This window comes from Homo sapiens, chromosome 20, assembly GCF_000001405.40.
Source record: "Homo sapiens chromosome 20, GRCh38.p14 Primary Assembly".
Lineage (NCBI taxonomy): Eukaryota > Metazoa > Chordata > Mammalia > Primates > Hominidae > Homo > Homo sapiens.
In genome coordinates, this window is record NC_000020.11 from 45,885,939 (window position 1) to 45,912,857 (window position 26,919).

Consider the following 26,919-nt stretch of genomic DNA (forward strand, 5'->3'; position numbering starts at 1 on the left):
AAAAAAATTCTGGGTAGGCCAGGTACGGCGTCTCACGCCTCTAATCCCAACACCTTGGGAGGCCAAAACAGGCAGATTGGAGCAGCCTGGGCAACATGGCAAAACCCCTTCTGTACAAAAAATACAAAAATTAGCTGGATGTAGCACGTGCCTGTAGTCCCAGCTACTCAGGAAGGCTGAGGTAGGAAGATCACTTGAGCCCAGGAGGTTGAGGCTGCAGTGAGCTGTGATTGTGCCACTGCACTCCAGCATTGGTGACACAGTGAGACCCTATCTCAAAAAAAAAAAAAATTCTGATCAAGTCTTCAAAACAACATAAAAGCAGCCTTAACTCTCCAAGCAGGGGCCCCTACCTCAGATAATTTCCATTGTATCTACCTGACAAAACCTATCTCCTGTCTTAGTGGTATCTGGAGAAACTTTAGGGTCTGGAAGTCCCTGATGAAGGACTGGAATTTGTCAGAATGGCTCAACCACCAGCTCTATCCCCATCCCTGCCATAGGCCCTCCTCCCAACCCTGTCTGCCCAAGAACCATACGGAGAAACCACCCTACATATCTGGTGCTATTTCATCCATCTACAAGCAGGAGCCAGGAGGCTGGCCCCTTTTAGATCTCACTAGGGGCATCTTCCCAGAGGCTGTGTGGGCATGTGCCTGCTCCCACCGCGCCCCCTCCACAGCACCCTCTGGCTCCGGATGGGCCATCATGAAAGCTTGAGCGGCCCAGATCAGGTCCTCTTCCCGAACTCCTGGGACGGGCACGGTGGGGATGCCAGCGATCATCATGGCGAGGGTGAGGATGCAGATATCAGGCTGGGAGCTGGCCTCCTTCCCCACTGCCTCAGAGGGTACCGGTAGAACCCGTGGTGACAGCCCACACAGCATCAGGGGCCTAGGCCTGCTGGGGCCACCCAGGTCAGGGGCTCTGCTTCTGGAGTAGCCATTGTCCCAGCCCAAGCTCTCCAGCTGCCTCACATGCGGGAATTTGTGGCAGTTTCGGCTGTATTCCTTCCGTAGTGTCTCCCAGCTAGTCCCCCCAGGGCAGCCCCTGGCTTGTGGCATTGCCAGGGCTGGGCCCCAGGCCTGGGCAGCAGGTGCCACCTGCTCAGCTTTCTGGCTCAGTGGGCCTGTTCCACCAGAGGCCACCACCACTGGCTCTACAGGACTACAGAGGCCAAGGGACAAGCCTGGAGAAGCAGCCCCACCTGCAGAGACAGGAATGAAATGGAACGTTATTCTCAGTTCTTTGAGGAGGGGGCCCTGAGGGGCAGGGCATGGGAGCAGAGCTTGGGGGCGTAACTAAGACCAGCCCCAGCGGACTGTCTAGAGGTTGGGAACTAGGTGTTACTCATATCCACACTCCCAGTCCCCAACACGGAGTAGGTGATGGAGAAGCGTTTGTTGAATTAATGAATAGTGAGCAAGCGGGTAGTTATTGATTGGCAAGGATGTTTGGAATGGCTTTTCTTCTAAAAGAATTGATTCTAGGGCCAGCCCCCAAATGCCCAGCAGAACCGCCACCTCCCCAGAGCCAGAAAGCAACTTCTCAGGGGAAGCTGCCGCACTCCCTCCAATTGCAGGTGCCCCCCGCTCACCTTGGCCGGAAGGCAGAGGACCTGGATGAGTTTGTGGAGTCCTGAAGTAGGACATGGCTTCCCCAAAGCCCCGGTTTGTGAGGGAATAGTGATCTGCCGCCTGTCCTCCCTTCTTCACCCTTCTAGAATGTCACCTCATAGACCCTCCCCTTCACACTTGGAATCCACTTTACAGCGTTGACCTATTCATTCTAGAACCTGGACATGACAATAGGATGAGGTTAAAAGAGCACCAGACCAGGAGCTGGGTGTTCTAGGTTCTTGCCCTAACCTTGAACGAGTCACCCAGATAGTTTTGTTCCTTGATATCCTTATCTGTAAAGTGTGTCTGATGACTGCCCACTACCTCATTAGGAGTTTTGAGGATGAAATGAGATCATTTGTATGGAAGCAGATGACCAGAGATGGAAACACAGGAGCCAAGTGCTTCGTGCCTTGTAGAGTAAGACTTCGGGTCAGACCCAGTATTGGTATTTTTCTTTTTCTTTTTTTGAGACAGAGTCTCACTTTGTCGCCATGACTGGAAGGCTGGAGTGCAGGAGCAAGACCTCAGCTCACTGCAACCTCTGCCTCCTGGGTTCATGCAATTCTCCTGCCTCAGCCTCCCGAGTAGCTGGGACTACAGGAACCTGCCACCACACCTGGCTAACTTTTGTATTTTTAGTAGAGACAGGGTTTCACCATGTTGGCCAGGCTGGTCTCAAACTCCTGACCTCAAGTGATCTGCCCACCTCGGCCTCCCAAAGTGCTGGGATTACAGGCCAGGTATTGGTATTTTTCAAAATTCCTCAAGTGATTATAATATATGACAAAGTTGGAACCTTTTTTCTAGGGACATACTTCTCAACCCTGGCTGTACATGAGAATCTCTTGAGAAGCTTTTACAAAACACAATGTCTAGGCCTAATTTCCCAACAAATCAAATACGAATCCCTAGGGATGGGATGTGGGACACCAGCACTCTTTACATATCCTAAGATGACTCTAACAAGCAGCCAGCCTAGGGACCCCTGCTCTTTTGCTCCGACCTGCTGACCTGCAGTGATTCTAAACGAAGTGACTCTCATAGGCTGTAGGGGCAAGGAGACCTTCCAGTGATCAAGATGTCAGCATCGGCTGTTTATTTCTGGTCTTGGCTGGCAGCAATGTGGCCAACTTCGGACCAGCCAGCCACAGGTCTGGGGCTCCAGGATGCAGCTGTGCTCTGGTGCACTGTGGGTCTTCACTCATACTTGCAGAAATCCTTAAGTTCTTTGGGCAGGTGGAGCCCATCAATGGCCAGCCGGTGCACCATGCTCCTTTGTATCACTAGGCGGCACAGAGTCTGCAGGGATGGCACTGTGGGAAGAAGACTGTGAAAGGCAAACTGAACTGGAGGGTGGGTCTGAGGCCAAGATCCAGAAGGTCTAGGTCATGGTCCCCACTTTGTCATTAAATGTGGGCAAGTCCTTACTGCTCTCTGGGCCCAGCCTGCTTCATGGGGCTGAGAGAAGCACCTCTTCCTGAGAGCTGCCACAAAGCTGCAGCCCTGTTTATATCATAACACTTAGCACAATCCCTTCCCCATTCACTTAGCAGCTTCTGGGGGCAGGGGTAGTGTCTGATTTGCCTGTGCAACTGAAGCCTCCAGCACAGGCCTGGCACAAAGAGGGTTCTGGTGCATTGAGTTCATGAAATGTGATGAGAGGTATAACTGCAATGCTTACCAGGGCTATAATGAATCATACTCAGCATTAAGAAGCTCTCAGTCTGGGGTTTGTTATGCCTCGAAGCCAATAGCCAATATGCCCAAGTCTATGAGCATGTTTCTTTCTTTTCTTTCTTTTTTTTTTTTTATTTAAAGAGAGAGGGTCTTGCTCTGTCACCCAGGCTGAAGTGCAGTGCTCAGTGAACTGCAGCCTTCAATTCTTGGGCTCAAGCGATCCTCCTGCCTTAGCCTCCCAAATAGCTGGGACTACAGGCATGCACCACCATGCCCAGATAATTATTTAATTTTTTGTACAGATGGGGTCTCACTTTGTTGCCCAGGCTTGAGCTAGCTAGCTTGCTTGCTTGCTTGCTTTCTCTCTCTTCCTCTCTCTCTCTCTTTCTTTTTTTTTTCAGAGTCTTGCTCTGTTGCCTAGGCTGGAGTGCACTGGTGAGATCTCGGCTCATTGCAACCTCCACCTCTCGGGTTCAAGTGACTCTCCTGCCTCAGCCTTCTGAATAGCTGGGATTATTGGCACATGCCACCACACCCAGCTACTTTTTGTATTTTTAGTAGAGACAGGCTTTCACCATGTTGGCCAGGCTGGTCTCGAACTCCTGGCCTCAAGTGATCTGCCTGCCTCCCCCTCCCAAAGTGCTGGGATTACAGGTGTGAGCCACTGTGCCCGGCCAAGCATGTTTCTAAGAAAAGGGCAAACAATTCTCAAAGAGGCCCCTAATATCTAAAATTGGTTTAGAATCCCTGCCCTAGGTGAATACAGGAAACACTATCAAAACTAAAAGGGAACTTGTAGGGCATCTTAATCAATCAACCAAGATAGGTACCAAGGCCCAAAACCATGTAGAGGCTTGTGCAAGATCACAAGCAGAGGTGCAATTTGAAGCTAGATTCTCCCACTCTTAAACTAGTGCCGGACAGACGAAGGCCTAGCACATGGGCTACGGAGCCCTAGTAGATTCCAGTCCCCACACTGAGCCAGGAGGGGTCGCTGCCCAGGGATACCTACAGCCATACTCGAGCTGGACAAGGCGCACGCTCTTTGTGGAAGCAAACACGTCCACCACCGCGTAGAGGGGCTGCGCAGCTGGCAGTCCCCGGGCGCTCGGGCCCATGTCCTCGCCGTTGATGATGATGTGCATGTCGGCCGTGCCATCGGGGCGCGGGCAAAAGAGGACACCCAGGCGGCTACGGCGCGCGGTCGGAGGCAGCACGTTCAGCTCATAGAGCTGGTCCAAGAGATGGCTGTAGAGCCCTGGCCGGCTGCGGCCCACCAGGCGGTCCCGGGGAATGCGAAACTGCTCAATGCGCAGATATGGTTCCACGAGGAGGGTTGGAGGTCGGCTGGGGGCCGCTGCCTCCGCCTCCGGGCGGCCCTCCCGGGGCACGCGGTTGTGGTGGCGCGTGATGGCGAAGACCCAGGTGTGGCCCAGGTTGACCAGATCGGGCAGAGAAAACTCGGGAACGGGGGCCAGACTGGCGGGGTCCAGCGCGGTCAGACCGAGACGCAGATGTCCGCACCAGCCCAGCTCTTTCTCCTCGATCTCGACCAGGAAGACCTGGCCCGGGGCCAGCGGCTCGCGGCTGAAGCACACGCCGTGGGCGAAGCTCTCCACGCGTGTGGCCCGCGTCCCAGAGGGGTCCACGCGGATGTTGGCACCGTGCACCCGATGGAAGCGGGTGGGAGGGGGCTCCGGGCGCTCGAGTCCCCAGAGTGCACCCGAATCCACGGGCTCGGAGGCAGCAGCCATCTCTCGGCCATAGGGCAGGCCAGCTGGCGCCGGGGGCTATTTTGGGCGGCGGGCAATGATGGTGACCGCAAGGCGACCTTGTAAGGCATTTCCCCCCTGACTCCCTTCCCCGAGCCTCTGCCCGGGGGTCCTAGCGCCGCTTTCTCAGCCATCCCGCCTACAACTTAGCCGTCCACAACAGGATCATCTGATCGCGTGCGCCCGGGCTACGATCTGCGAGGCCCGCGGACCTTGACCCGGCATTGACCGCCACCGCCCCCCAGGTCCGTAGGGACCAAAGAAGGGGCGGGAGGAAGACTGTCACGTGGCGCCGGAGTTCACGTGACTCGTACACATGACTTCCAGTCCCCGGGCGCCTCCTGGAGAGCAAGGACGCGGGGGAGCAGAGGTGAGCTGGCACCGGAGGCTGGAGGGGATCCCCGAGCCCGGGATCGGTGCGCGGCAGAGGAGGCTCGCGGGTGGGAGCTGGCGCTGGGGCCGGGGCTTCCCTCGCGGAGGCGCCGCCAGCAACTCCCCGGGGGCTGCTGCACGGAAGCGCTGAGGAGCGAGTCAACAGCCCCTCTGCTGCCTCCCGTAGATGATCCGAGCCGCGCCGCCGCCGCTGTTCCTGCTGCTGCTGCTGCTGCTGCTGCTAGTGTCCTGGGCGTCCCGAGGCGAGGCAGCCCCCGACCAGGACGAGATCCAGCGCCTCCCCGGGCTGGCCAAGCAGCCGTCTTTCCGCCAGTACTCCGGCTACCTCAAAGGCTCCGGCTCCAAGCACCTCCACTACTGGTCTGCCGCCCTGCCTTCTGGGCGGGATTGGGAGAAGAGATGACGGATGAGGGATGGGGGGTAGTTCTGCAGACCCCTGAGGATGCCTGGGAGCCGGGAGGGCTGGAAAGGGCCCCTCCAACTGCGCCAACCCTGCCCTGACCCCCCTCCCAGGTTTGTGGAGTCCCAGAAGGATCCCGAGAACAGCCCTGTGGTGCTTTGGCTCAATGGGGGTCCCGGCTGCAGCTCACTAGATGGGCTCCTCACAGAGCATGGCCCCTTCCTGGTGAGTGGACAGCAGGGGGAAAGCACAGTTCCCAAAGTAAAAGGCTGGGGAAAGCGAGAGAGGGGCTTTGTGATTTTCCAAAAAGTTTCCTTCCTTCTAAGCCTCGGGATTTTCCTCTATGCCATTGGCTTTGCTGCCTGTACCTCTCAGAGGTTTTACCCACATGTAAAGTGCCTCTCATGGTGGCCCTTTCCCTCCACCCAGCTGGCCCTTGGGACTTACTCAGCCATCTCTTTCCTCCTCAGGTCCAGCCAGATGGTGTCACCCTGGAGTACAACCCCTATTCTTGGAATCTGGTATAGCTGGAGCTGTGGGTGTGTCTGGGCACTTGGATGGGGTGGCATTTAGCTAATTTTTCCCTCCCCTCTAGATTGCCAATGTGTTATACCTGGAGTCCCCAGCTGGGGTGGGCTTCTCCTACTCCGATGACAAGTTTTATGCAACTAATGACACTGAGGTGAGTCTGGTGCCTGCCCATCTGCCCCAGGCTCCCCGGTCCTCCATCCATGGCATGATGCTGGGAGAGAGAGCATGGCCTTGGAGTCTACTTTTCGCTCTGTCATATGCTATTGTGGTATGGTGGCCAGTCACTTCCTCTTGCACAAATAGGGTGGGTTAATGTCATTATCTCTGAAGTTCTTTCCAGTTCAAATACCAAAGCTTCCTGATTCCCTCTGTCTTGCTCTGCCATCCCCAGGTCGCCCAGAGCAATTTTGAGGCCCTTCAAGATTTCTTCCGCCTCTTTCCGGAGTACAAGAACAACAAACTTTTCCTGACCGGGGAGAGCTATGCTGGCATCTACATCCCCACCCTGGCCGTGCTGGTCATGCAGGATCCCAGCATGAACCTTCAGGTGCAGGGTAGCTGCAGGAGGGAAGGGAGGTAGCTTGAGGCTGTGGCCTTACAGTTAGCAAGGTCAGACTGACTGGTCAATGTCCCCATCCAACCCAGCTTCCTGCATAACCTCCCCACCACCGGCTGCCCTAGGTCTGTCTGTGTGCCTCCCACACAGGAAACTCACCTGTCAGGCTGCCAGCTCTGTGTTTTGCATTGAGTGGCCTCTCATACCCACCGGCCTACATAAACCACCCTGGGTTTCAGCTTCCGGATTGCTGAAGGTCTGGGTGGTAGGGTGAGGGAGGCTCTTCCTTTTTGCCCTCCACATGAGCTGAGCACCCTGGGTGTTTCACAGGGGCTGGCTGTGGGCAATGGACTCTCCTCCTATGAGCAGAATGACAACTCCCTGGTCTACTTTGCCTACTACCATGGCCTTCTGGGGAACAGGTATGGGATAGGGCAGTTGGGCAATCTCTGGGGTGAGGCAGGTCACATGATCTCAGGTCTGTCCTCCAGGCACATGATATGACAGGCCCAGCCCAGGTTTATGAGCAGCAGGTGGGTTGCAGAAAGAACCTAGTGCTGAAAGGCCAAAGAATAGAGATCAGTTTTTCTTTCTTTCTTTTTTTTTTTTTTGAGACAGATTCTTACTTTGTCACCCAGGCTGGAGTGCAGTGGCACGATCTTAGCTCACTGCAACCTCCACCTCCCAGGTTCAAGCAATTCTCATGCCTCAGACTCCCAGGCAGCTGGGACTACAGGCGCGTACCACCACACCTGCCTAATTTTTTGTATTTTTAGTAGAGATGGGGTTTTGCTGTGTTGGCCAGGCTGGACTTGAACTCCTGGCCTCAAATGATCTTCCCAAAGTGCTGGGATTACAGGCATGAGCTACAGCGCCCAGCCAGAAATCAGATTTTAAAGGAACTAAGGAGGCCTGTCTGTATGACCCTGGGGCACCTCTTTGGGAGCTAGCTTAGATGACATACAGACCACACCCTGTGATATCTTTCCCAGTCTCCTAGGGTCAGGGAGGTTGGTGGGAGGTGGGGGGTATGCTCGCCTCCTCTGCCTTCCTCTTCCCACCAGCAGCTGATGCGCTTTTCACTCTCATCTCCTACAGGCTTTGGTCTTCTCTCCAGACCCACTGCTGCTCTCAAAACAAGTGTAACTTCTATGACAACAAAGACCTGGAATGCGTGACCAATGTGAGGTTCTGCCATCACTTTGCATGAGCTCTCCCATCCCTAATCCTGAGAACAGGACCACATTCCCTCCTTGGGGACTCCTTGTTCTCCGTCCCTCATTGCTTTCTTGCACCTTTAAGCAATTTAGTGTTCTCTGGGACATGTGTCTAAGTGTGTATTCCCACCACCACCTCCTATGGTGGCAAATCCCATAACCTCCGTGAGGAGAAAGGACTTCTTCACATTTATCAAACACCTGCAACGTGGCAGGCACTGTGCTGAACTGTGTCTATGTAGATTATTTAAGCTTCAAGATTCCCCCTCAAATGAGATCATACTACCCACATTTTCCAGATAAGGAAACTGAGGGCTATGAATTTTGAAATCACTGTCTGAAGTCACAGTGTTGGGAGGCAGTGATGCTAGGATTTGGACCCAGGTCTGGGAAGATTCCTGCCACTGAGCCTCAGTTTCCCTACCTGTGAAAAAAAGTGGGTGAAGAGGTGAAATCCAAGAGCAGTAAATCTTGGGACAACTTGGTGGGGTCGTGGAGAGGCTGGGGATCTGTAAAGCATGGTGGCTTGGTGTATCATTGCAGCTTCAGGAAGTGGCCCGCATCGTGGGCAACTCTGGCCTCAACATCTACAATCTCTATGCCCCGTGTGCTGGAGGGGTGCCCAGCCATTTTAGGTAGGTGCTGCTGGGTGCCCCTGGAGCCAACCCCAGCCCCATCTGGAGGCTCCACACCCATTCCCCCACCTCACATTGCAGGTATGAGAAGGACACTGTTGTGGTCCAGGATTTGGGCAACATCTTCACTCGCCTGCCACTCAAGCGGATGTGGCATCAGGTGTGCGAGGGCGTGGGCTTCCTCCTGGTGAGGTGGGGGCAGGGGGAGGGGCAGGGAAGCAGAGGCCCTGACCCACTGTCTGTGCCTTCCAGGCACTGCTGCGCTCAGGGGATAAAGTGCGCATGGACCCCCCCTGCACCAACACAACAGCTGCTTCCACCTACCTCAACAACCCGTACGTGCGGAAGGCCCTCAACATCCCGGAGCAGCTGCCACAATGGGACATGTGCAAGTGAGGTTCCGTGGCCACCTGTGACTTGGGGTGGTGGGTTGCTGGGGCTTGTGGGCATCGGCAGGTTTCTCAGGGATCTTCTGTGTAGAGTTTCTCAATGAGATGAGCTGTAGAGGATGTTTAACATCCATCCCTGACCCCTCAGTGGATTGAGAGTCAGCCAATTCATTCTTTTATCTTTTTTAAATTTAAAATTTTTTTGTTTGAGACAAGGTCTCACTCTGTCACCTAGGCTGGAGTGCAGTGGTGTGATCATAGCTCACTGCAGCCTCAAACTCATGGGCTCAAGCAATCCTCCCACCTCCCCAGTAGCTGGGACTACAGACGCACCACCACCCCCAACAAGTTTTTGTATTTTTTGTACAGATGGTGTTTTACCACATTGCTCAGGCTGGTTTTGAACTCTGGGGCTCAAGTGATCTGCCCATTTCAGCCTCCCAAAGTACTGGGATTACAGGCATGAGCCACCCCGCCCAGCCCCATTTCATTACGTAGCCACATTGGTTGTTGTTTCACAGTTCACTACAGCCTCAACCTCCTAGGCTCAAGCGATCCTCCCACCTTAGTCTACTGAGTAGCTGGGTCTACAGGCACATGCCACCATTCCTGGCTAATTTTTAAAAAATTTTTTTGTAGAGACAGGGTCTCACTATGTTGTCCAGGTTGGTCTCAAACTCTTGGTCTCAAGCAATCCTCCCTCCTTGGCCTCCCAAAGTGCTGGGATTACAGGCGAGGGTCCCCACACCCGGCCATCACATTGGTTAATAACTATTACTTCCGACTGGGCGCAGTGGTTCACGCCTGTAATCCTAGCACTTTTGGAGGCTGAGGTGGGGGAATCACCTGAGGTCAGGAGTTCGAGACCAGCCTGGCCAACATGAAGAAACCCCATCTCTACTAAAAATACAACAATTAGCCAGGTGTGCTGTTGGGCACCTGTAATCCCAGCTATTCAGGAGGCTGAGGGAGGAGAATCGCTTGAACCCAGGAGGCAGAGGTTGCAGTGAGCTGAGATCATGCTACTGCACTCCAGCCTGGGCAACAAAAGTGAAACTCCATCTCAAACAACAATAACAAACTGTTAACTTCCATGTCCAGTCTCCTGTGGCCACCCCCCCCCACAACCCCAAGTAAAAGGGTAACACTGGGCCCAGCAGGGCTGCTCAGGTCCATTTTGATTGGTCAGTGCTCACACTCTACCCTGTTGTATGTTGTGACTCCCACACCTGCTGGCCCCTAGACACTAAATGCCAGATGCATCCCAGTCCTCGTAACAACCAAAATGCGTCCCTTGTACATTTCTTTTTCTTTTTTTTTTTGAGATGGAGTCTTGCTGTCACTCAGGCTGGAGTGCAGTGCTGCGATCTTGGCTCACTGCAACCTCCGCCTCCCGGGTTCAAGTGATTCTCCTGCCTCAGCCTTCTGAGTAGCTGGGACTACAGGCACGCACCACCACGCCTGGCTAATTTTTGTATTTTTTTTTTTAGTAGAGACGGGGTTTCACCATGTTGGTCAGGCTGGTCTCGAACTCCTGACCTCGTGATCCACTCACCTCGGTCTCCCAAAGTGCTAGGATTACAGGCGTGAGCCACCACGCCCAGCATCCCTGTACCTTTCTAAATGGTGGTGAGTTGAGGCTGTCTGAATCCCAGCCCATCCAGCCCAACATCCAAGTCAGTCCTAGAGAGGTGGCCCCCCCCCAAAAAGGGGAGTGGAACCCAGCTGTCTGCCTTCTGGGTTGGAGCTTGGAGATAGGAGAGAAGGTCTGATCTGTTGACTACTTTTCGCCCCGACCTGGTCTTCCTGGGGCCTGCTCGTATGTTCCCGGCAGCTTTCTGGTAAACTTACAGTACCGCCGTCTCTACCGAAGCATGAACTCCCAGTATCTGAAGCTGCTTAGCTCACAGGTGAGTGGGGAGAGCACAGCTGGATCACCAGCAGCCTTAGGACCCCAGAGTAGCACAGCAAGCTGGGGGCCCTTGAGACTTCCTGTCAGGACAAGGGAAGCTGAAACTCCGAAAGGCGAAGCCCAGGGTCCTGTGATTGGTGGGGTCAGAATTTGAACCTGGGTTTGTCCCCACCCATGCTGTCCTGCTATAGGAGGCCTAGGGGTCTGCATCAGCCACGGAGTCTTAAGGGTGAGAAGAGCTTCATTCATGCCAAAAATGGGCCAGCAGAGGTCCAGGGTGGGAGGAGACCTTGCACAAGGTGATATAGGAAGCACTGGCAGGGCCAAGTTAGGACTAGGTTCTGTCCAGCACAGTGGTTAATAGCATGGGCTCTGGAGTCACATGGCCTGGGTGCAAGTCCCTGTACTAGCCACATAATCTTGGGCAAATTTCTTAAATATGAGCCTCAGGTTCTCCATCTGTAAAATGGGGATAATAATGATATCTACCTTCACAGATAAAACATTTAGTAGAATACTGGACATGCAGTAAGTCGTTAGAAAACATGAAAATTCCCTGGTTCGTGTTATCTAGCTTGGCCCCTTGAATTTCCTGAGGGGTAGGCCTTGAACTAGGGAAGGGCTGGGGACTGGGCTTGTTCCACACCCCTCATTTTTACCCCATCCTGCTTTAGAAATACCAGATCCTATTATATAATGGAGATGTAGACATGGCCTGCAATTTCATGGGGGATGAGTGGTTTGTGGATTCCCTCAACCAGAAGGTAAGGTAGAGATTCCTGGCCCTGGGATAGGGGCTGCTGTGGAGGATTGGGAGCGGGTATGCCTGGGAGTGGCCAGCTGGCTGCCTGGCTCTGGCCCACAGAGGGCAAGTGTGGAGGAATTCCCAGCCCTAAGGTCTTGCTGGTAGCTGTGAGCAAGGATGCAGCTGCTGTAGGCTGATGTCTTTCCTGGTGGGGCAGATGGAGGTGCAGCGCCGGCCCTGGTTAGTGAAGTACGGGGACAGCGGGGAGCAGATTGCCGGCTTCGTGAAGGAGTTCTCCCACATCGCCTTTCTCACGATCAAGGTAGGGACTGGGCCTGCTGAGAGATAACTGGGCCGGAGGCAAAGGAGCAGGACCCACCCGTCCTTTCCCTCTGGCTGCCTTTTAGGCTGGGTCATGGGTCACCATCTGGCCCCTGTATGGGCAAGTTTTTTTGGAGAGGGGTGGGGAGGGTTCTGGGAAGAATAAAGGGTTTGGGATGAAGGAATTGCCCCCGAGTGAGCAGTTATATGGGGAGGAGGGAATGGTGGGGTCAGGAGCTCACGAACATTGCTCCTCAGGGCGCCGGCCACATGGTTCCCACCGACAAGCCCCTCGCTGCCTTCACCATGTTCTCCCGCTTCCTGAACAAGCAGCCATACTGATGACCACAGCAACCAGCTCCACGGCCTGATGCAGCCCCTCCCAGCCTCTCCCGCTAGGAGAGTCCTCTTCTAAGCAAAGTGCCCCTGCAGGCCGGGTTCTGCCGCCAGGACTGCCCCCTTCCCAGAGCCCTGTACATCCCAGACTGGGCCCAGGGTCTCCCATAGACAGCCTGGGGGCAAGTTAGCACTTTATTCCCGCAGCAGTTCCTGAATGGGGTGGCCTGGCCCCTTCTCTGCTTAAAGAATGCCCTTTATGATGCACTGATTCCATCCCAGGAACCCAACAGAGCTCAGGACAGCCCACAGGGAGGTGGTGGACGGACTGTAATTGATAGATTGATTATGGAATTAAATTGGGTACAGCTTCAAATCCCGTCTTCTCTGTGGCACTGGGGGTTAGAGGGGGCACTACAGGCTATGAATGTGGGAAAAGAGGGGCTGAGAGGGGTTGGGGTCCTGAATGACAGCTGCCAGCTTGGGGATTGAGGGCTCAGACAGCTGCTGTGGACGGTGTGGGGGCAGTGGACGCCCTGACATCAGCAGGCCGGTTCTTCTCAATCACCTCTCGCAGCCCTTTGGCAAAGTGGAGATCAGCCCCGATGGTGAGGAATCCCTGTGTTGGGGAGAGGGGAGCCTCATTTATTCATTCAGTTATTGAGGCCAGAGTTTAGAGATCAAGAGACAGAGTGTTTGTCTTTCAGGAACTCAATCTAATGGATAATTCCATGTCAAGGTGTTAAAATGAGGCTGTAGGAGTGTAGACTATGGGTGTCAAGGAGGGCTTCTTGGAGGAGGTGACCTCTGAGCTAAGACCTGAACAATTAGTAGGTATTGGGATGGGAGAAGAGTGCTCCAAGAAGTCACAGTGTGTGCAACGGCTTTTAGGAGTCTAAGATTAAAATGGGAGGGGCGACTGGTAATGGGGGAGCTGGGGTCAGGTAATGGAGGGCACTGGGGAGCTATAGAGAGAGGGGAAGGCCCTCCCTCCTTCCCCATCCTGCCCCCACTCACCGCATGGTTCGTCACCACCTCATGCACAAAGTTGATGCCCTCAGGTAGTGGGATCTGCACCCCACGCCAGGTCCGCTCTGTGGGTGGGAGCACCCCGCTCAGTCTGGGCCCGCCCAGTTCACCCCTCCTTTCTTCCTCCATCCTCACACCCCAGCCTTACCATTGAGCATGGGCATCACCCCAATCTGCAGCATGGTCTTCAGAGGGGCCTGTAATGGGATCAGCTGGGAGGGGCGAGGGCGGAAACAGGGCAGTGAGTCAGGGTTGGGTTTGCCTTTAGCTGCCCGCAGGTGAGCAGTTATATGAGGAGGGGGGGATGGTGAGGGTCAGGATCTCACGAACCCAGCCCAGCCCACCCACCCTTCCCCACTCACAGCCAGCGACTCCAGTGCAGAATGGTTGGAATAGATTCGGAACCTGCGGGAAAGAAAGGAGCCCTGTGGGCAGGAAGCCTGGAAGCTCCCCTTCCTCAGGCCACCCAGGCCTACCTGCCAGAGGTGTCTGAGTTGCAGGCTCAGATGCCCACCTAGGCACCTTTCCAAGTGCTACAACTTTCCAGGTATCCTCGGGGCAGTCATTGCTGCCACTTGGGTCTCCTTTTCTCCAAGACTGCTACTTTTTATTTATTGAGCACCTCTTTTTTTTTTTTTTTTTTTTTTTTTTTTGAGACAGAGTCTCGCTGTGTCGCCCACGCTGGAGTGCAGTGGCGCGATCTCGGCTCACTGCTCCGTCTCCCGGGTTCACGCCATTCTCCTGGCTCAGCCTCCCGAGTAACTGGGACTATAGGTGCCCGCCACCAAGCCCAGCTAATTTTTTGTGTTTTTAGTAGAGACGGGGTTTCACCGTGTTAGCCAGGATGGTCTCGGATTTCCTGACCTTGTGATCCGCCCGTCTCGGCCTCCCAAAGTGCTGGGATTACAGGCGTGAGCCACCACGCCCGGCCTTTATTGAGCACTTCTAATGTGCCAGACTTCTGCTGGTAGCTTTGCAGGTGTTATTTATTTTATGTAACAAAACTTCACATTGCTTAGTTCCTGTCAGACACTAAGCATATTTATTTTCTTTTTTTATTTTTATTTATTTTTGAGACAGCGTCTCACTGTGTTGCCCAGGCTGGAGGGCAGTGGTGTAATTTTACTCACTGTGGCTTTGACCTCCAGGGCTCAAGTCAGCCTCCCACCTCAGGCTTCCAAGTAGCTGGGACCACAGGCGTGCATCACTATGACCAACTAACTTTTAAATTTTTTTGTAGAGACAGGATCTCACTTTGTAGCTCAGGCTGGTATCGAACTCCTGGCCTCAAGCGATCTACCCGCCTTGGTCTCCCAAAGTGTTGAGATTACAGGTGTGAGCCACTGCACCCAGCCAACGTGTTTAAAAAGTTAATATTAGTAAACTGTTTTAAAATACAGTACCAACTGGTTTAGTCCTCAAAACAAGCCCAAGGAGTGGGCACTATTAGGATTTGCACTAATTTATAGATGAGGAAAATGAGGCCCTGCAAGGTTAAGTAATTTGCCTGAAGTCACACAGCTGGAAAGTGTCAGAAGCTGCCTCTAGAACCTAGGGTCCTAACCTACATTATCTCCTTTAACCTTAGAACAGCACTGTCCAGTCAGATTTTCTGTGAAACGTTTTGTATCTGCACCGTCTACTATGGTAGTCACTAGCCACATGTGGCTAATGAAATGTGGCTTAGTGCAACTGAAAAACTATTTAATTATAATTAATTTAAATGTAAATAGTCACATGTGGCTAGTATCTACCATATTGGATAGCACAGCCCTAGAAGGCAGATGCTACTTTTGCCTGTATTAAACACATGGAGAAAATGAGGCCTAGAAAGACAAAATGGGCTGGGTGCGGTGGCTCACGCCTGTAATCCTAGCACTTTGGGAGGCTAAGGTGGGACGATCACTTGAGCCCGAGAATTGGAGACCAGCCTGGACAACAAAGTGAGACCCCATCTCTACAAAAAATAAAATAGTCAGGCATGGTAGTGCATGCATGCAGTCCCAGTTACTCGGGAGGCTGAGGCTGGACGATCACTTGAGCCCAGGAGGTCAAGGCTGCAGTGAGCTATGATTGCACCACTGCACTCCAGCTTGGGCAACAGAGTGAGACTCTGTCTCAAAAATAAATAAATACAATAAAATAAGGCCAAGCACAGTGGCTCATACCTATAATCCCAGCACTTTGGGAGGCCGGGGCAGGTGAATCACCTGAGGTCAGGAGTTTGAGACCAGCCTGACCAATATGGTGAAACCCTGTCTCTACTAAAAATGCAAAAATTAGCCGGGCGTGGTGGCGCACACCTGTAATCCCAGCTACTCAGGAAGCTGAGGCAGAATTGCCTAAACCCGGGAGGCAGAGGTGGCAGTGAGTCAAGACCACGCTATTGCACTCCAGCCTGGGCAACAAGAGCGAAACTCCTTCTCAAAAAAAAAAAAAAAAGAATAATAACATTTTTAAAAAAGATAAAATGGCCTCAAGGTCACAAAGCTGTGTTGTGCTGAGGTTTTTGTCAAAACCCATGTTCTGATCTTTGCTGTGTGACTGTGGGCATGTTATTTAACATTGCTGGACCCATTTGTTCATCTCTCATAATACCTGCCCTGCCTGCCTCTGGGACATGTGAGAATGCAGAGGAGTCAGACTTTACCAAAGCACTTTGGCATGCATTAACAAAGACAGACCCCAGCTCTCAGTGGCTTACAGGTATCACTGTACTTTAAGCGCAACATCCCTGTGGACAGGTGTGATTGTCCTCCAATCACTGAGGTGCAGGGAAGTGCGCCTGCCTACCTGCGCAGGTCCAGCTGCGTGCGCAGGGCCTTCCCCCGGAGAGCCATCTTGGCGCTGAGACGGGCGTCCTGCAGGAACATGGGGAGGAGGATGTTACTGACCCAGAAGGTCAGTAACCCACAGCCCATTTTTCCCTGACCCCCAGCCAGCAGCCCCCACTCTGGGACCCGTACCATAGTCATGCTGGACAGCTGGACCTCAGGCTGGTCTGGTGGGACCAGGGCAATGGTGACGCTAGCAGTGACAGAGATGGTGGTGCCAGAGGGCTTGATGGTGCAGCGCGGTGGGGCCAGGACCCGCAGCTCCAGCTTCAATGGGGAGTCAATCACTGCTGGGCTCTGGGGGATGAGCAGCAGGGGCGGGTCAAGTCCCTGCCATTTCCTTTGGAGCCCCCAGGGAAGAAGGGGAAGGAAGGCAGGTGCAGCTTCTGTCCTCTGGGGACTCTCATATTGCAAATACAGAGGGAGCTCTGGCTTCCAAAACTCTCACATCTGCATCTAGCCTTCATGCCTTTGCCACACAAAGAAACAGGAATGTGTTCTTCTCTTTCTGCTTCCTAAATACATCTCAATATTCAGGTCTATCTCCAATCCAGACTCTTTGTGGATGTCCTTTTTGCATTAGTATCTCAGCCCTTGCCATGTCTTCTGTTTTTGATATGGAGTCTCACTTTGTTGCCCAGGCTGGAGTGCAGTGGCACAATCTCGGCTCACTGCAACTCTGTCTCCCAGGTTCAGGCGATTCTCCCGCCTCAGCCTCCCAAGTAGCTGAGATTACAGGCACCTGCCGCCATGCCCGGCTAAGTTTTGTATTTTTAATAGAAACGGGGTTTCGCCATATTGGCCAGGCTAGTGATTCGCCCACCTCGGCCTCCCAAAGTGCTGGGATTACAGGCATGAGCCACCACACCCAAACCCCTTGCCATATCTTTTTGCTCTCTCTCTCCTTTTTTTTTGAGACAGGGTCTCTGTTGCCCAGGCTGGAGTGCAGTGGCATGATCACGGCTCACTGCAGCCTCAACCTCCTCAGCTCAAATTATCCTGCCACATCAGCCTCCTGAACAGCTGAGACCACAGGTTCATGCCATCACGCCTGGCTTATTTTTGTATTTGTTTTTTGTTTTGGTTTTTGCTTTTGTGTTTTCGTAGAGACGGGGTTTGGCCATGTTGCCCATGCTGGTCTCAAACTCCTGGGCTCAAGTGATCTGCCGGCTTCAGCCTCCCACAGTGTTGGGATTACAGGCGTGAGCCACCGTGCCTGGCCATATCTTCTTTCTCTAAACTGCTATGCCTTCTTCTATAGGCAGTGAAGGAATACTATAAGATGCAACTGCCTAATCTTCACCAAACATGATTCTAAACACTGTATATGTGTTGGTTCCTTTAAACCTCATAATAACCATGTGAGGCCGATATTATTACTGCCAATTTTGTTGTTGTTATTTTTTACAAATTTATTTTTCAGGCTGAGTCGTCATGGCAGAGAATTGCTTGAACCCGGGAGGTTCAATTGCAGTGAGCCAAGATTGCGCCACTGCACTCCAGCCTGGGTGACAGAGTGAGACTTTGTCCCCCCACCGAAAAAAAAAGATCTGACTAAAAATTTATTTTTCAATAGAGACAGTGTCTCACTGTGTTGCCCAGGCTGGTCTCAAACTCCTGGGCTCAAGCAATTTTCCTACCTTGACCTCTCAAAGTTCTCAGAGTATAGGCGTGAGCCATCATGCCCAGCCATATCCCCATTTTTGAGATGGGGAAATTGAGGCACAGATAGGTTAAGTAACTTGTAGAGGTTATGTAGTTACTCAGTTTCAGAACTAGGCTTGAAGCCCAGGCAGTCTGACAATAGAGACCCTGCCCTGCCATAAATTGGATGATGATAATGACTGAATTATTTCTTTTAAAATTTGTAATTCTGCTAGGTGCGGTGGCTCACACCTGTAATCCTAGCACTTTGGGAGGCCAAAAATGGGTGATCACTTGAGCCCAGGAGTTCAAGGACAGCCTGAGCAACATAATGAAACTCTGTCTCAACAAAATATAAAAATTAGCGGGGTGTGGTGGCACAAGCCTGTAATTCCAGCTACTCAAGAGGCTGAAGCAGGAGGATGGCTTGAGCCCTGGGAGGCAGAGGTTGCAGTGAGCCTAGATTGTGCCACTGCATTCCAACTTGGGTGACAAAGTGAGACTCTTGTCTCAAAAAAAAAAATAAATAAAATGTGTAACTCTTACTCTCCTCCCCAATACACAAATAAACAAAAGTATATGTGAATTATTATTAAAGCCCTCACACTTGCAAAGCTTGGGTTCTCACTAATCCTCACAGCAGCTCTGCGAAGGAGATGGGGCAGGAAGGAGCAGGAAGGAGCAGACCGCTTCACAGACAGGAACAGCCATGACAAGGCGAGGGGGATTGGCCACAGACAAGAGGCCAGGGCCCTGTCTGCGTGGCTGCCACTGGGGGCCCCACCTGCACCCCTCCTTGGTCTCACTGGTGTGCAGGTGGCCCTATCCCTGCCCCCGCCAGCACTCACCAGCAGGACAATGCTCCCAAAGTAGGTGGCCCTCAGCAGCATGTCCAGGTCGTGGGGCACCTGAACAGGGGAATCAGGAGTGAGGGAGTGAGCTCTGTCACAGACCTTCTCTTGCCCATCCCACAAACAGGCCATGACATACCTTGTCCCCCACCAGCAACAGCTGCAGGGCCCCCGCCCGGAAGTAGCTCTCCATGGCAGAGTCGAAGAAGAACTCAGAGAAGGCCACATACACCATCCGCTCTTCCTCCTGCAGCTGGGGCTCCACTGCCCGGTTGGGGAGGCTCCAGTTCCTCTCAGTCAGGGGGAAGAAGGCCCCCTGGGGTGGGGCATTCACAGTCAGGGTCAAGGCAGACTGGCCTGGCACCTGGACTGACAGCAGGTGTCTCCCAGCCCCGTGCTAGGCACTGTGGGGGGATGGTGGGAACCCAGCTGCTGTTCTTGGAGGATTCACAAGCACATCTCTTAAAAGGCATTGGAAGGAGGACACCTGCTACCAGGGGGCGAGCCCGTCAGACTGGAGGAGGGAGGGTCAGGAAAGGTTTCAGGGAAGAGGTGACATCTGAGTGGGCCTTGAAAGCTAGAGGCAGTAACAACAGCTACTGTTTACATATATTGTGCATACTCATGCTTCTTTGCCAAGTACTCTAAGCTCTTCACATAGATCGACTTCTTTAATCTGCATAACAACGTGTGTTTTCTTACTAGATTATTTCCATTTACATGTTAGGAAACTGGCCAACTGAAAACTTATGCTTAGGGCCGTGCAGCTAGTCAGTGGCAGAGCTAGGATTTGAACTTCAGGCATTCTTTTTCTCTTTGTAGAGAAGGAGGTCTCACTATGATGCCCAAGCTGGTCTCAAACTCCTGGGCTCAAGCGATCCTCTCGCCTGGGCCTCCCAAAGTATTGGGATTACAGGCATGAGCCACTGCACCCGACTGATTCTAGCTCCCGAGTCTGCACTCTGAAACTGCTATACTCCTCTGGGAGACCAAAGGTAGTGGCTACACACTGGCTATGTGGCCTTGGGCAAGTGACGTCACCTCTATGAGTAAGTCTCCACATTCCTAAAATTAGGATGATGTTAGTACCTGACTCACAGGGTTGTGAGAGAATGAAATGAGATTATTTGTATAGAAATTTATGTCCAGCTCCTTCGGGGGAGTTGGGGAAAGGCCGTGCATGAGCAAAGGCCCTGAGGTGGGAAGCCAGGGTCCAATTTGGGAAAGAGCAGCTGCAAAGAAACAGGATGAGATATAAAAGGTGGGGCCAGGTAAGATTAACAGGGGCTCAAATGCCAGACCCAGGAGGCTGAACCTAATTCTGTAGTAACAGGGAGCCATAGCATTCTCAGTAATGGGAGTGGCCTCATCAGAGCTGTGCTTTAAGAAGTAAAATCTTGCAACTTAGCAGAGAAAGAGGTCTTGTTAGGAAGTCAGAGGTCATACACCAGCCCAAGCAGCTCACCCGGAAGTCCATGTCCAGGTTGCTGGTGGAAGCCACAGGATCCTTCATGAGGGAATAGTCAATGCCAACAAGCTCGTCCACAGAACTGCGCACTGCAGGAAGGGGCTCAAGTCACTCACGGCTGTGTGATGTGGGATAAGGTGCTTAACCTCTCCAGGCTCAGAGGCCCACCCATAAAATGAGGATACATCCTTCACAGGGTTGTCATGAGGGTCAAATTAGTTTTATGTGGAAAGCACTTAGGGCCTGGTGTGTAGTTAGGTGCTCATTAATGTTAGTTATTATTATTACTACCACTATAGAGGTTTCAAAAAAATAACTAAACAAGATGGCATGGGGGGGCCGCGCATGGTGGCTCACACCTGTAATCCCAGCACTTAGGGAGGTCAAGGCGGGCGGATCACCTGAGGTCAGGTGTTCGAGACCAGCCTGGTCCACCACGGTGAAACCCCGTCTCTACTAAAAATACAAAAATTAGTTGGGCATGGTGGTGGGCGCCTGTAATCCCAGCTACTCAGGAGGCTGAGGCAGGAGAATCGCTTGATCCTGGGAGGTGGAGGTTGCAGGGAGCCAGGATTGCACCACTGCACTCCAGCCTGGGTGACAGAGCGAGACTCCATCTCAAAAAAAAAAAAAAAAAAAAAAGATGGCATGAGGTTCCTTTCCCTTGGTTTCTCCTACCTCCTCCTTCGCTTCCCATGCCTGTGTGTTAGGTGTGATGGGAAAATACCTTTGCCCCACAGTAGACAGAGGTCATGGCTTAGAAAAAGGGAATTCATGGCCAGGCACAGTGGCTCATGCCTATAATCCCAGCACTTTGGGAGGCCAAGGTGGGCAGATCAGGAGGTCAGGAGATCGAGACCATCCCGGCCAACATGGTGAAACCCCGTCTCTACTAAAACACAAAAAACTAGTTGGGCATGGTGGTGCACGCCTGTAGTCCCAGCTACTCGAGATGCTGAGGCAGGAGAATTGCTTGAACCCGGGAGGTGGAGATTGCAGTGAGCTGAGATCGCGCCACTGGACTCCAGCCTGGCAACAGAGTGAGACTGTAAGACTCCGTGCAAAAAAAAAAAAAAAAGAAAGAAAAAGAAAAAGGGAATTCATGTTAATTGAGCACCTATTAGATGCTAGGTGATGAAGACAAATGGGATGCCAGTGATCAGCATGCACATATTGAGGACCTTGACAACTATTCTCTCAGATAATCCTCACAGCAACCCCAGGAGGAGGCACTGCCAGCCAAGTGAGGAAACAAGCACTTTGCCCAGACAGAAATGAGCACTTCACCCAAAATCGCACAACAAGTCAGCTCCAGGGGCCACATTTGAACCCAGGACTGTTCAACAGCAGGGCTCGGAAGGGGCCTGCTCTGAGGTGCTGCATGACAGCTGCACACCCAGACTCACCCGCCACCAACTCACCAGGCACGGTGTCCAGGAGGGAGTTGAGCAGGACCGTCCCTGCGTGGTAGAGGACAGGGCAGATCTGCGAGGTGGGAGCCAGAGTCAGGGCCTTCTCAAAGTGAGAGCATGCCCACCCTTGCCACCCTGCGACCTGTCGCTGCCCACACCTGCTGGTTGAGGAGGAAGCGCATCCCTGAGGTGATGAACGTGGAGAGAAAATCATACACCTTCCTGTGAGGAGAGGAGAGGCCGGATGAGCCCAGAACCTGCCTCCACCCCAGTCCAGGTCCAGGAGAAATCAGTGACTAGGGAAATAGTGGCAGTAGGAGTCCTCAGCTTCAGCCTGAATAACAGCTCCTCCACGTAGGTTTTCCAAGAACCAGGCCCAAATTCCCTCTCCAGTCTAATTCTCAAGACCTCCTGACCTACTCTCTGGTCCCATCAGTCAAATGAATCCACCCACATTGCCTCAAACCCACTCTGAGCATCCCCACATCCATCGGCTTACTGATGCCCTCCCTTCCGCCCTCTGCATTCCTACTCTGTATTTTCCCATCTGAGCTCAGATGCTTCCTCTTCCAGGCAGTCTTCCCAGATTCCCCTCCTCTGAATCCCCAAAGCATTTTCTTAGTCCTTCTCTCCAGGCCCTGATATCAAATGTTTTTTGCTCCAGATAGGCTCTGAGCTCCTTCCTGCATCCTCAGGGACTGGCATACACTTTGTTTGATGAATAAATAATACTGACAGTGTACCAACACCAGGTTATAATCCATCATCTTCTCTCCCCCATCCTCTTCCAGAACAAGAACAATATCCCCTTCTCAGCAGCAAAAATAAAAAAATAGGCCGGGCACAGTTGCTCAGGCCTGTAATCCCAGCACTTTGGTAGGCCGAGGCGGACAGACCACCTGAGATCAGGAGTTTGAGACCAGCGTGGCCAATATGGCGAAACCCTGTCTCTACTAAAAATACAAAAAAAGTAGTTGGGCATGGTGGTGCATGCCTGTAGTCCCAGCTACTTGGGAGGCTGAGGCAGGAGAATCGTTTGAACCCAGGAGGTGGAGGTTGCAGTAAACCGAGATGGCGCCACTGCACTCCAGGCTGGGTGACACAGTGAGACTCCCTCTCAAAAAAAAAATTATTATTTTTGTTATTATTATTTAGAGATACCAATTATTGAGAATCCAGTACATGGCCAAATGTGCATATCAGATAGTCCTCACAGTTACTCTTATCTAAGTGGCCAGCACTTAAATATACATTTATCATATGCCAGGTGCTGTTCTAAATTTTTTTTTTTTTTTTTTTTTGAGATGGAATCTTGCTCTGTCACCAGGCTGGAGTGCAGTGGCACGATCTCAGCTCACTGCAACCTCCGCCTCCCGGGTTCAAGCGATTCTCCTGCCTCAGCCTCCCACGTAGCTGGGACTACAGGCACGTGCCACCACGCCCAGCTAATTTTTGTATTTTTAGTAGAGATGGGGTTTCACCATGTTGGCCAGGATGATCTCGATCTGTTAACCTTGTGATCCGCCCGCCCAGACCTCCCAAATTGCTGGGATTTCAGGCATGAGCCACCACAGCCAGCCTTGTTCTAAATATTTTTTACATATACCAACACAAATAATCCTGACAACGATCTTATAAAATAGGATCTTATAAAATGAGGATATTGAGGCACCAAGCTTCAGTGACTTGGCCACGTTCACACAGCCAGGAAGTGACAGAGCTGAGCTTTGGACCCAGTTGGTCTGATTCCCAGGCCTATGCACTTTGCATTGCGCTAGGCAGATGAGCTGTGGGGCTCGAAAAGGGTGAGCTGGGGTTGGGGCTGGGGCTTACTTGAAGGTTCCCCCGAAGGCCGCGTGCATTCTGGAGACAGAGGCCTGGCAGGAGACATTGGACACTTTCATCCGTCCAGCGGGATCCCGGGAGAGCTCCAGACCAGTGCGGATGGACACACCCTCAGCTGAGGCGTTGATGTAGCCCCCATCATAGCTGCCAGGGGGGTTAATATTCACTCCAGGTAGGAGCTCAATTGAGTCTTCAGTGCCCCCATGCATCACCATACCTCTTAATAAGGTTTCACCTCTTTCCACACATCCTACCAAACCTTCCTATCAACTCGTATGAAATGCATATGCCTGTTTCTGTTACACAGATGAAGAAACGGAAACTCAGGAAGGCTAAGGGGGCTGCCCACAGCCCCACAGCACCTCCAGCCCTCCTGACCCACTCTCCACTCCCCTGAGGGTGCTGGGTCCTTACAAGAACCAGTAGAGCAGCTGTCTCCGGAAGCGCAGCCCCAAGGAGGCATTGGTGATTTGAAGCATCAGCTCCTGCTGTGGCTGGAAATCGAGCTCGGAAGATGTCAGTTGCAGCTCTGTGACCTTCACCCTACAGGAGGCCTCAGGGTCAGATCCAGGGCCAAGAAGAGGGAACTTCCCCCAACGACAGGAAATTTGTCTGCTCCCCTTTCAAGTCCAGGCCTGGGGAAGCGGGAGTGGGTGGAATGAATTCTTCCATTGTCCCTCAAGTGCCCAACTTAGACTTGGGTGGCTCAAAGTTGAACTTGGGTGGCTGAGAGAGGAGGTCTTCCTGATCCAGGTGTTAAAAATGAGCTTCACCCCATCGCTTAAAAGTCTTGTTTGTTTGTTTGCCAGGTGCGGTGGTGGCTCATGCCTGTAATCCCAGCACTTTAGGAGGCCGAGGAGGGCGGATCACTTGAGGTCAGGAGTTCGAGACCAGTCTGGCCAACATAGTGAAACCCGTCTCTACCAAAAATACAAAACTTAGCAGACCGTGGTGGCACGCGCCTGTAGTCCTAGCTACTCGGGAGGCTGAGGCAGGAAAATCGCTTGAACTCGGGATGCGGAGGTTGCAGTGAGCCAAGATCGCGCCACTGCACTCTAGCCTGGGCAACAGAACAAGACTCCCTCTCAGAAAAAAAAAAAAAAAAAGTCTTGTTTGCTTGCACCCCCTCCCCTCCCACACCCTGGGGTTGCTACACCCGGTCTTTTAATAGAGTCCGTTCACTTTGCCTCCATCACCTAAGCTCCGTCTCACATCTCAATTCCTTATTCCCCCTCCCTCATCCTAAACCATACTTAGAGCCTTCAGTTTCTCCACCCCTCCGATTAACTCCACCCCGTGCCCGAGACTCCACTCTCATCTATTGGGAAGTTCCTTGACTCCACCTTTCTGTTGTTCTTCGACCACGCCTCACATCCACTGGTCCTGCTTCCTTCTTGGCCCCCTCTACATTTTCAAGGCCACGCCCATCTGCCTGGTCCCGCCTATGATGACTGGCTTGGCCTTTATCTTTTCGGCCCCATCCGGTTTCTTAAGTCTTGCCTCATCGATTTGGCCACGCCCCATCCCACTCAGCCTCCAGTCTCCCGAGACCCTGAGATTTCTCGGGCCCCGCCTCCACCGCCGAGGCCCCGCCCCGGATCGCGAGGCCCCGCCCCCCACTTACTCAGAGATGTTGTAGTAGAAGTGGCCTTCTTTGCCCCGCAGGTCCGGAATGGTGATAGTCTCCAGCTCTTGCTCCAGAAAGCGCAGCCCCTCCTGCTTCACTGAAGCAGCAGAGAAACCCTTACTTAGCTCCCGTGCCCACTGTTGGGGCGACCCCAACCCCGTCCGCTCCCGTCCGTCCCTGTCTGCCCCTGCGCCTTACCCAGCTCCAGCGCCTTGGAGGTGACGCGGATCTTGCAGCCTGGGAACTCTGCATGTGCGCCTGCCAGCAGCGCTAGGAAGAGGGCCCCGAAGAGGGCCATGGCGAGCGGGCCTGGGGGTGGGGTGGGGTCGCAGGAGTTATCTGAGCCGCTTAAACCCATTCCTTGGACGTCCAACCATAAGTGGGAACTAGCCTGGATCGTTACCCTCCAGATAACTCTTCGGGGAACTTGGAACCAATAATCTTGCCTCCATATGGCAGATGTGGAAACTGAGGCTCAGAGAGGCGATGCGACTTGCGTTCTGGCTCCCAGAGGATTTGGGACACGGGGGAGGGGACGTTCCCAGTTCCCTCGTGCTACCGCCGCGTGATGAGTTTGGACCTCCAGGGGACCAGCCCCCACACCCCCAACAACCTCCCCTTTCCTTTAGCGGTGGGCCCATGCAGGCTTGCACGTTGCCACGGCAACGACTGCACGCGCATTCTTGGAGGGTGGCTTGCGGTCTCCTAGGCCTCGCGCCCGGGGAGGAGAGGAGGTGGCCGACCAGACCGTGGGCTCCCGGGTCTCCCGGCTCCCTCAGGTCCTAAATCTCTCCCATTAGAGATTCTGCCTGGAGCCCCCATGTTAGCGTTCTCCTTCATCGGCTCTCCTCCCCACGCCGGCTTCAGTGCACCACGCGGCTCGGCGAGGGACTGGGAACGGGATAGGGACGCGCCCCAACTCACTCAGCGGTGGAGCTGGGGGGCGGCGCGGTCACGTGGGATGGCGGGCAGCTCAGGGGATCCGGGCGACGGGGTCTGGCGGGCAGGGTTGTTCCAGCCGCCTTTATAAAGCCGGCCTCCCCGACCCCTCCTCCTCTCTGCAGCTCTCCCCTCCTCCCTTGGGGGCTGGGAGGGGACGGGGCGGGACGCTGGCAGCCGGGAGAGTGGAAAAGGCTGCACAGAGCCCCGTGACAAGCCCGGCCGCTGTCTGGACAAGTGGGAGACCCAAGCCCAGGGAGAGGGAAGGAAATGCAGGAGCCGGCCCACTCAGCCCCAACAATCCCACTTTGCTGGGACCTTGGTTCAAATTACAATTATCCATGTCTTCCTGCATGATCTTGGGCAAGTCACTTCACTTGGGTCACTGACCCTCAGTTTCTTCCTTCAGCGAAATGTGCACGATGATAGGAACTACCTCTTGGGCCTTTATTACAACCAGGTCCAGGCACAAAGTCAAGGAATATTTTTTCTTTCCCTGCCACCCACAATCATCTCGGGACCTCCTTGCCTGGCTTTGCTATGGGCCCCCCTACCTGTCTCTGTGTCACCACCTGGGGACCTTAAGGTCCCAGAGACCTTTCCCACTTGGGAAAGCAAGACTAGACAAGTGCTGTCAGCCCAGGAACATACCACACCGGCTGAAATCAGAAGGAGGTCTGCCATTTATCGTGGCTGGTGGATTGTTTTTTCTATTTTTTTTATTTTTATTTTTTGAGACGGAGTCTCGCTCTGTCCCCCAGGCT

General features: G+C 53.2%; 4 protein-coding genes across 12 annotated transcripts, besides 7 other annotated features; 1 reads left to right on the top strand and 3 right to left on the bottom strand.

The window, feature by feature from the left end:
- Nucleotides 395-895: an enhancer, noted in NCBI's record as "H3K4me1 hESC enhancer chr20:44514972-44515472 (GRCh37/hg19 assembly coordinates)". NCBI's record gives its function as "activates a minimal SCP1, AML or CMV promoter by ChIP-STARR-seq in naive H9 embryonic stem cells {active_cell/tissue: H9 hESC(naive)}" and the evidence as "EXISTENCE:reporter gene assay evidence [ECO:0000049][PMID:30033119]".
- SPATA25 (spermatogenesis associated 25) lies at nt 553-5,078 on the bottom strand. Of its 2 annotated transcripts, XM_024451826.2 has the most exons (3): nt 2,634-5,078; nt 1,598-1,795; nt 553-1,207 (listed from the first exon to the last, which is right to left on the bottom strand). In XM_024451826.2, exons 2-3 carry the CDS (start codon nt 1,650-1,652, stop codon nt 579-581), a joined length of 684 nt encoding a protein of 227 aa, XP_024307594.1. In that variant the 5' UTR covers nt 1,653-1,795; nt 2,634-5,078; the 3' UTR covers nt 553-578. The 2 variants fall into 2 exon arrangements, with proteins under 2 accessions (XP_024307594.1, NP_542175.1); NM_080608.4 differs by lacking the exon at nt 2,634-5,078 and having other exon boundaries at nt 1,598-1,684.
- Nucleotides 896-1,396: an enhancer, noted in NCBI's record as "H3K4me1 hESC enhancer chr20:44515473-44515973 (GRCh37/hg19 assembly coordinates)". NCBI's record gives its function as "activates a minimal SCP1, AML or CMV promoter by ChIP-STARR-seq in naive H9 embryonic stem cells {active_cell/tissue: H9 hESC(naive)}" and the evidence as "EXISTENCE:reporter gene assay evidence [ECO:0000049][PMID:30033119]".
- Nucleotides 2,696-5,270, bottom strand: NEURL2 (neuralized E3 ubiquitin protein ligase 2). 2 transcript variants are annotated; one of them, NM_080749.4, is made up of 2 exons: nt 4,312-5,270; nt 2,696-2,935 (listed from the first exon to the last, which is right to left on the bottom strand). In NM_080749.4, the coding sequence occupies exons 1-2, from the start codon at nt 5,051-5,053 to the stop codon at nt 2,820-2,822; spliced, it is 858 nt and encodes a 285-aa protein (NP_542787.1). In that variant the 5' UTR covers nt 5,054-5,270; the 3' UTR covers nt 2,696-2,819. The 2 variants fall into 2 exon arrangements, with proteins under 2 accessions (NP_542787.1, NP_001265464.1); NM_001278535.2 differs by having other exon boundaries at nt 2,696-2,949.
- Nucleotides 4,735-5,444: an enhancer, noted in NCBI's record as "H3K27ac-H3K4me1 hESC enhancer chr20:44519312-44520021 (GRCh37/hg19 assembly coordinates)". NCBI's record gives its function as "activates a minimal SCP1, AML or CMV promoter by ChIP-STARR-seq in naive H9 embryonic stem cells {active_cell/tissue: H9 hESC(naive)}" and the evidence as "EXISTENCE:reporter gene assay evidence [ECO:0000049][PMID:30033119]".
- Nucleotides 4,735-5,643: a biological region, named in NCBI's record as "H3K27ac-H3K4me1 hESC enhancer GRCh37_chr20:44519312-44520021".
- Nucleotides 5,374-5,643: a silencer, noted in NCBI's record as "silent region_12966". NCBI's record gives its function as "represses an Ori minimal core promoter by ATAC-STARR-seq in GM12878 lymphoblastoid cells {active_cell/tissue: GM12878}" and the evidence as "EXISTENCE:reporter gene assay evidence [ECO:0000049][PMID:35858748]".
- On the top strand, nt 5,397-12,882 carry CTSA (cathepsin A). Of its 4 annotated transcripts, none has more exons than NR_133656.2 (15): nt 5,397-5,441; nt 5,631-5,824; nt 5,978-6,089; nt 6,335-6,385; nt 6,460-6,546; nt 6,787-6,949; nt 7,282-7,373; nt 8,050-8,134; nt 8,712-8,803; nt 8,885-8,963; nt 9,056-9,195; nt 11,027-11,102; nt 11,779-11,868; nt 12,067-12,171; nt 12,429-12,882. NR_133656.2 is itself a non-coding variant. In NM_001127695.3 (15 exons), exons 2-15 carry the CDS (start codon nt 5,631-5,633, stop codon nt 12,510-12,512), a joined length of 1,443 nt encoding a protein of 480 aa, NP_001121167.1. In that variant the 5' UTR covers nt 5,397-5,487; the 3' UTR covers nt 12,513-12,882. The 4 variants fall into 4 exon arrangements, 3 of the variants coding, with proteins under 3 accessions (NP_001121167.1, NP_000299.3, NP_001161066.2); NM_001127695.3 differs by having other exon boundaries at nt 5,397-5,487; nt 6,787-6,942; NM_000308.4 differs by having other exon boundaries at nt 6,787-6,942.
- Nucleotides 5,684-5,733: an enhancer, noted in NCBI's record as "active region_17954". NCBI's record gives its function as "activates an Ori minimal core promoter by ATAC-STARR-seq in GM12878 lymphoblastoid cells {active_cell/tissue: GM12878}" and the evidence as "EXISTENCE:reporter gene assay evidence [ECO:0000049][PMID:35858748]".
- Nucleotides 12,682-26,217, bottom strand: PLTP (phospholipid transfer protein). Of its 4 annotated transcripts, NM_006227.4 has the most exons (16): nt 26,141-26,217; nt 25,415-25,525; nt 25,214-25,313; nt 24,004-24,132; nt 23,578-23,733; nt 21,903-21,966; nt 21,754-21,817; nt 20,330-20,421; nt 19,004-19,180; nt 18,862-18,921; nt 16,502-16,666; nt 16,329-16,396; nt 13,898-13,940; nt 13,684-13,747; nt 13,524-13,600; nt 12,684-13,125 (listed from the first exon to the last, which is right to left on the bottom strand). In NM_006227.4, the coding sequence occupies exons 2-16, from the start codon at nt 25,512-25,514 to the stop codon at nt 13,003-13,005; spliced, it is 1,482 nt and encodes a 493-aa protein (NP_006218.1). In that variant the 5' UTR covers nt 25,515-25,525; nt 26,141-26,217; the 3' UTR covers nt 12,684-13,002. The 4 variants fall into 4 exon arrangements, with proteins under 4 accessions (NP_001229850.1, NP_006218.1, NP_872617.1 ...); NM_182676.3 differs by lacking the exon at nt 23,578-23,733; NM_001242921.1 differs by lacking the exons at nt 25,214-25,313; nt 25,415-25,525; nt 26,141-26,217 and adding an exon at nt 24,933-25,056 and having other exon boundaries at nt 12,682-13,125.
- Nucleotides 16,594-16,789: a silencer, noted in NCBI's record as "fragment chr20:44531171-44531366 (GRCh37/hg19 assembly coordinates)". NCBI's record gives its function as "represses an EF-1alpha promoter that drives an FKBP-Casp9 reporter gene in an ReSE screen in K562 erythroleukemia cells {active_cell/tissue: K562}" and the evidence as "EXISTENCE:reporter gene assay evidence [ECO:0000049][PMID:32094911]".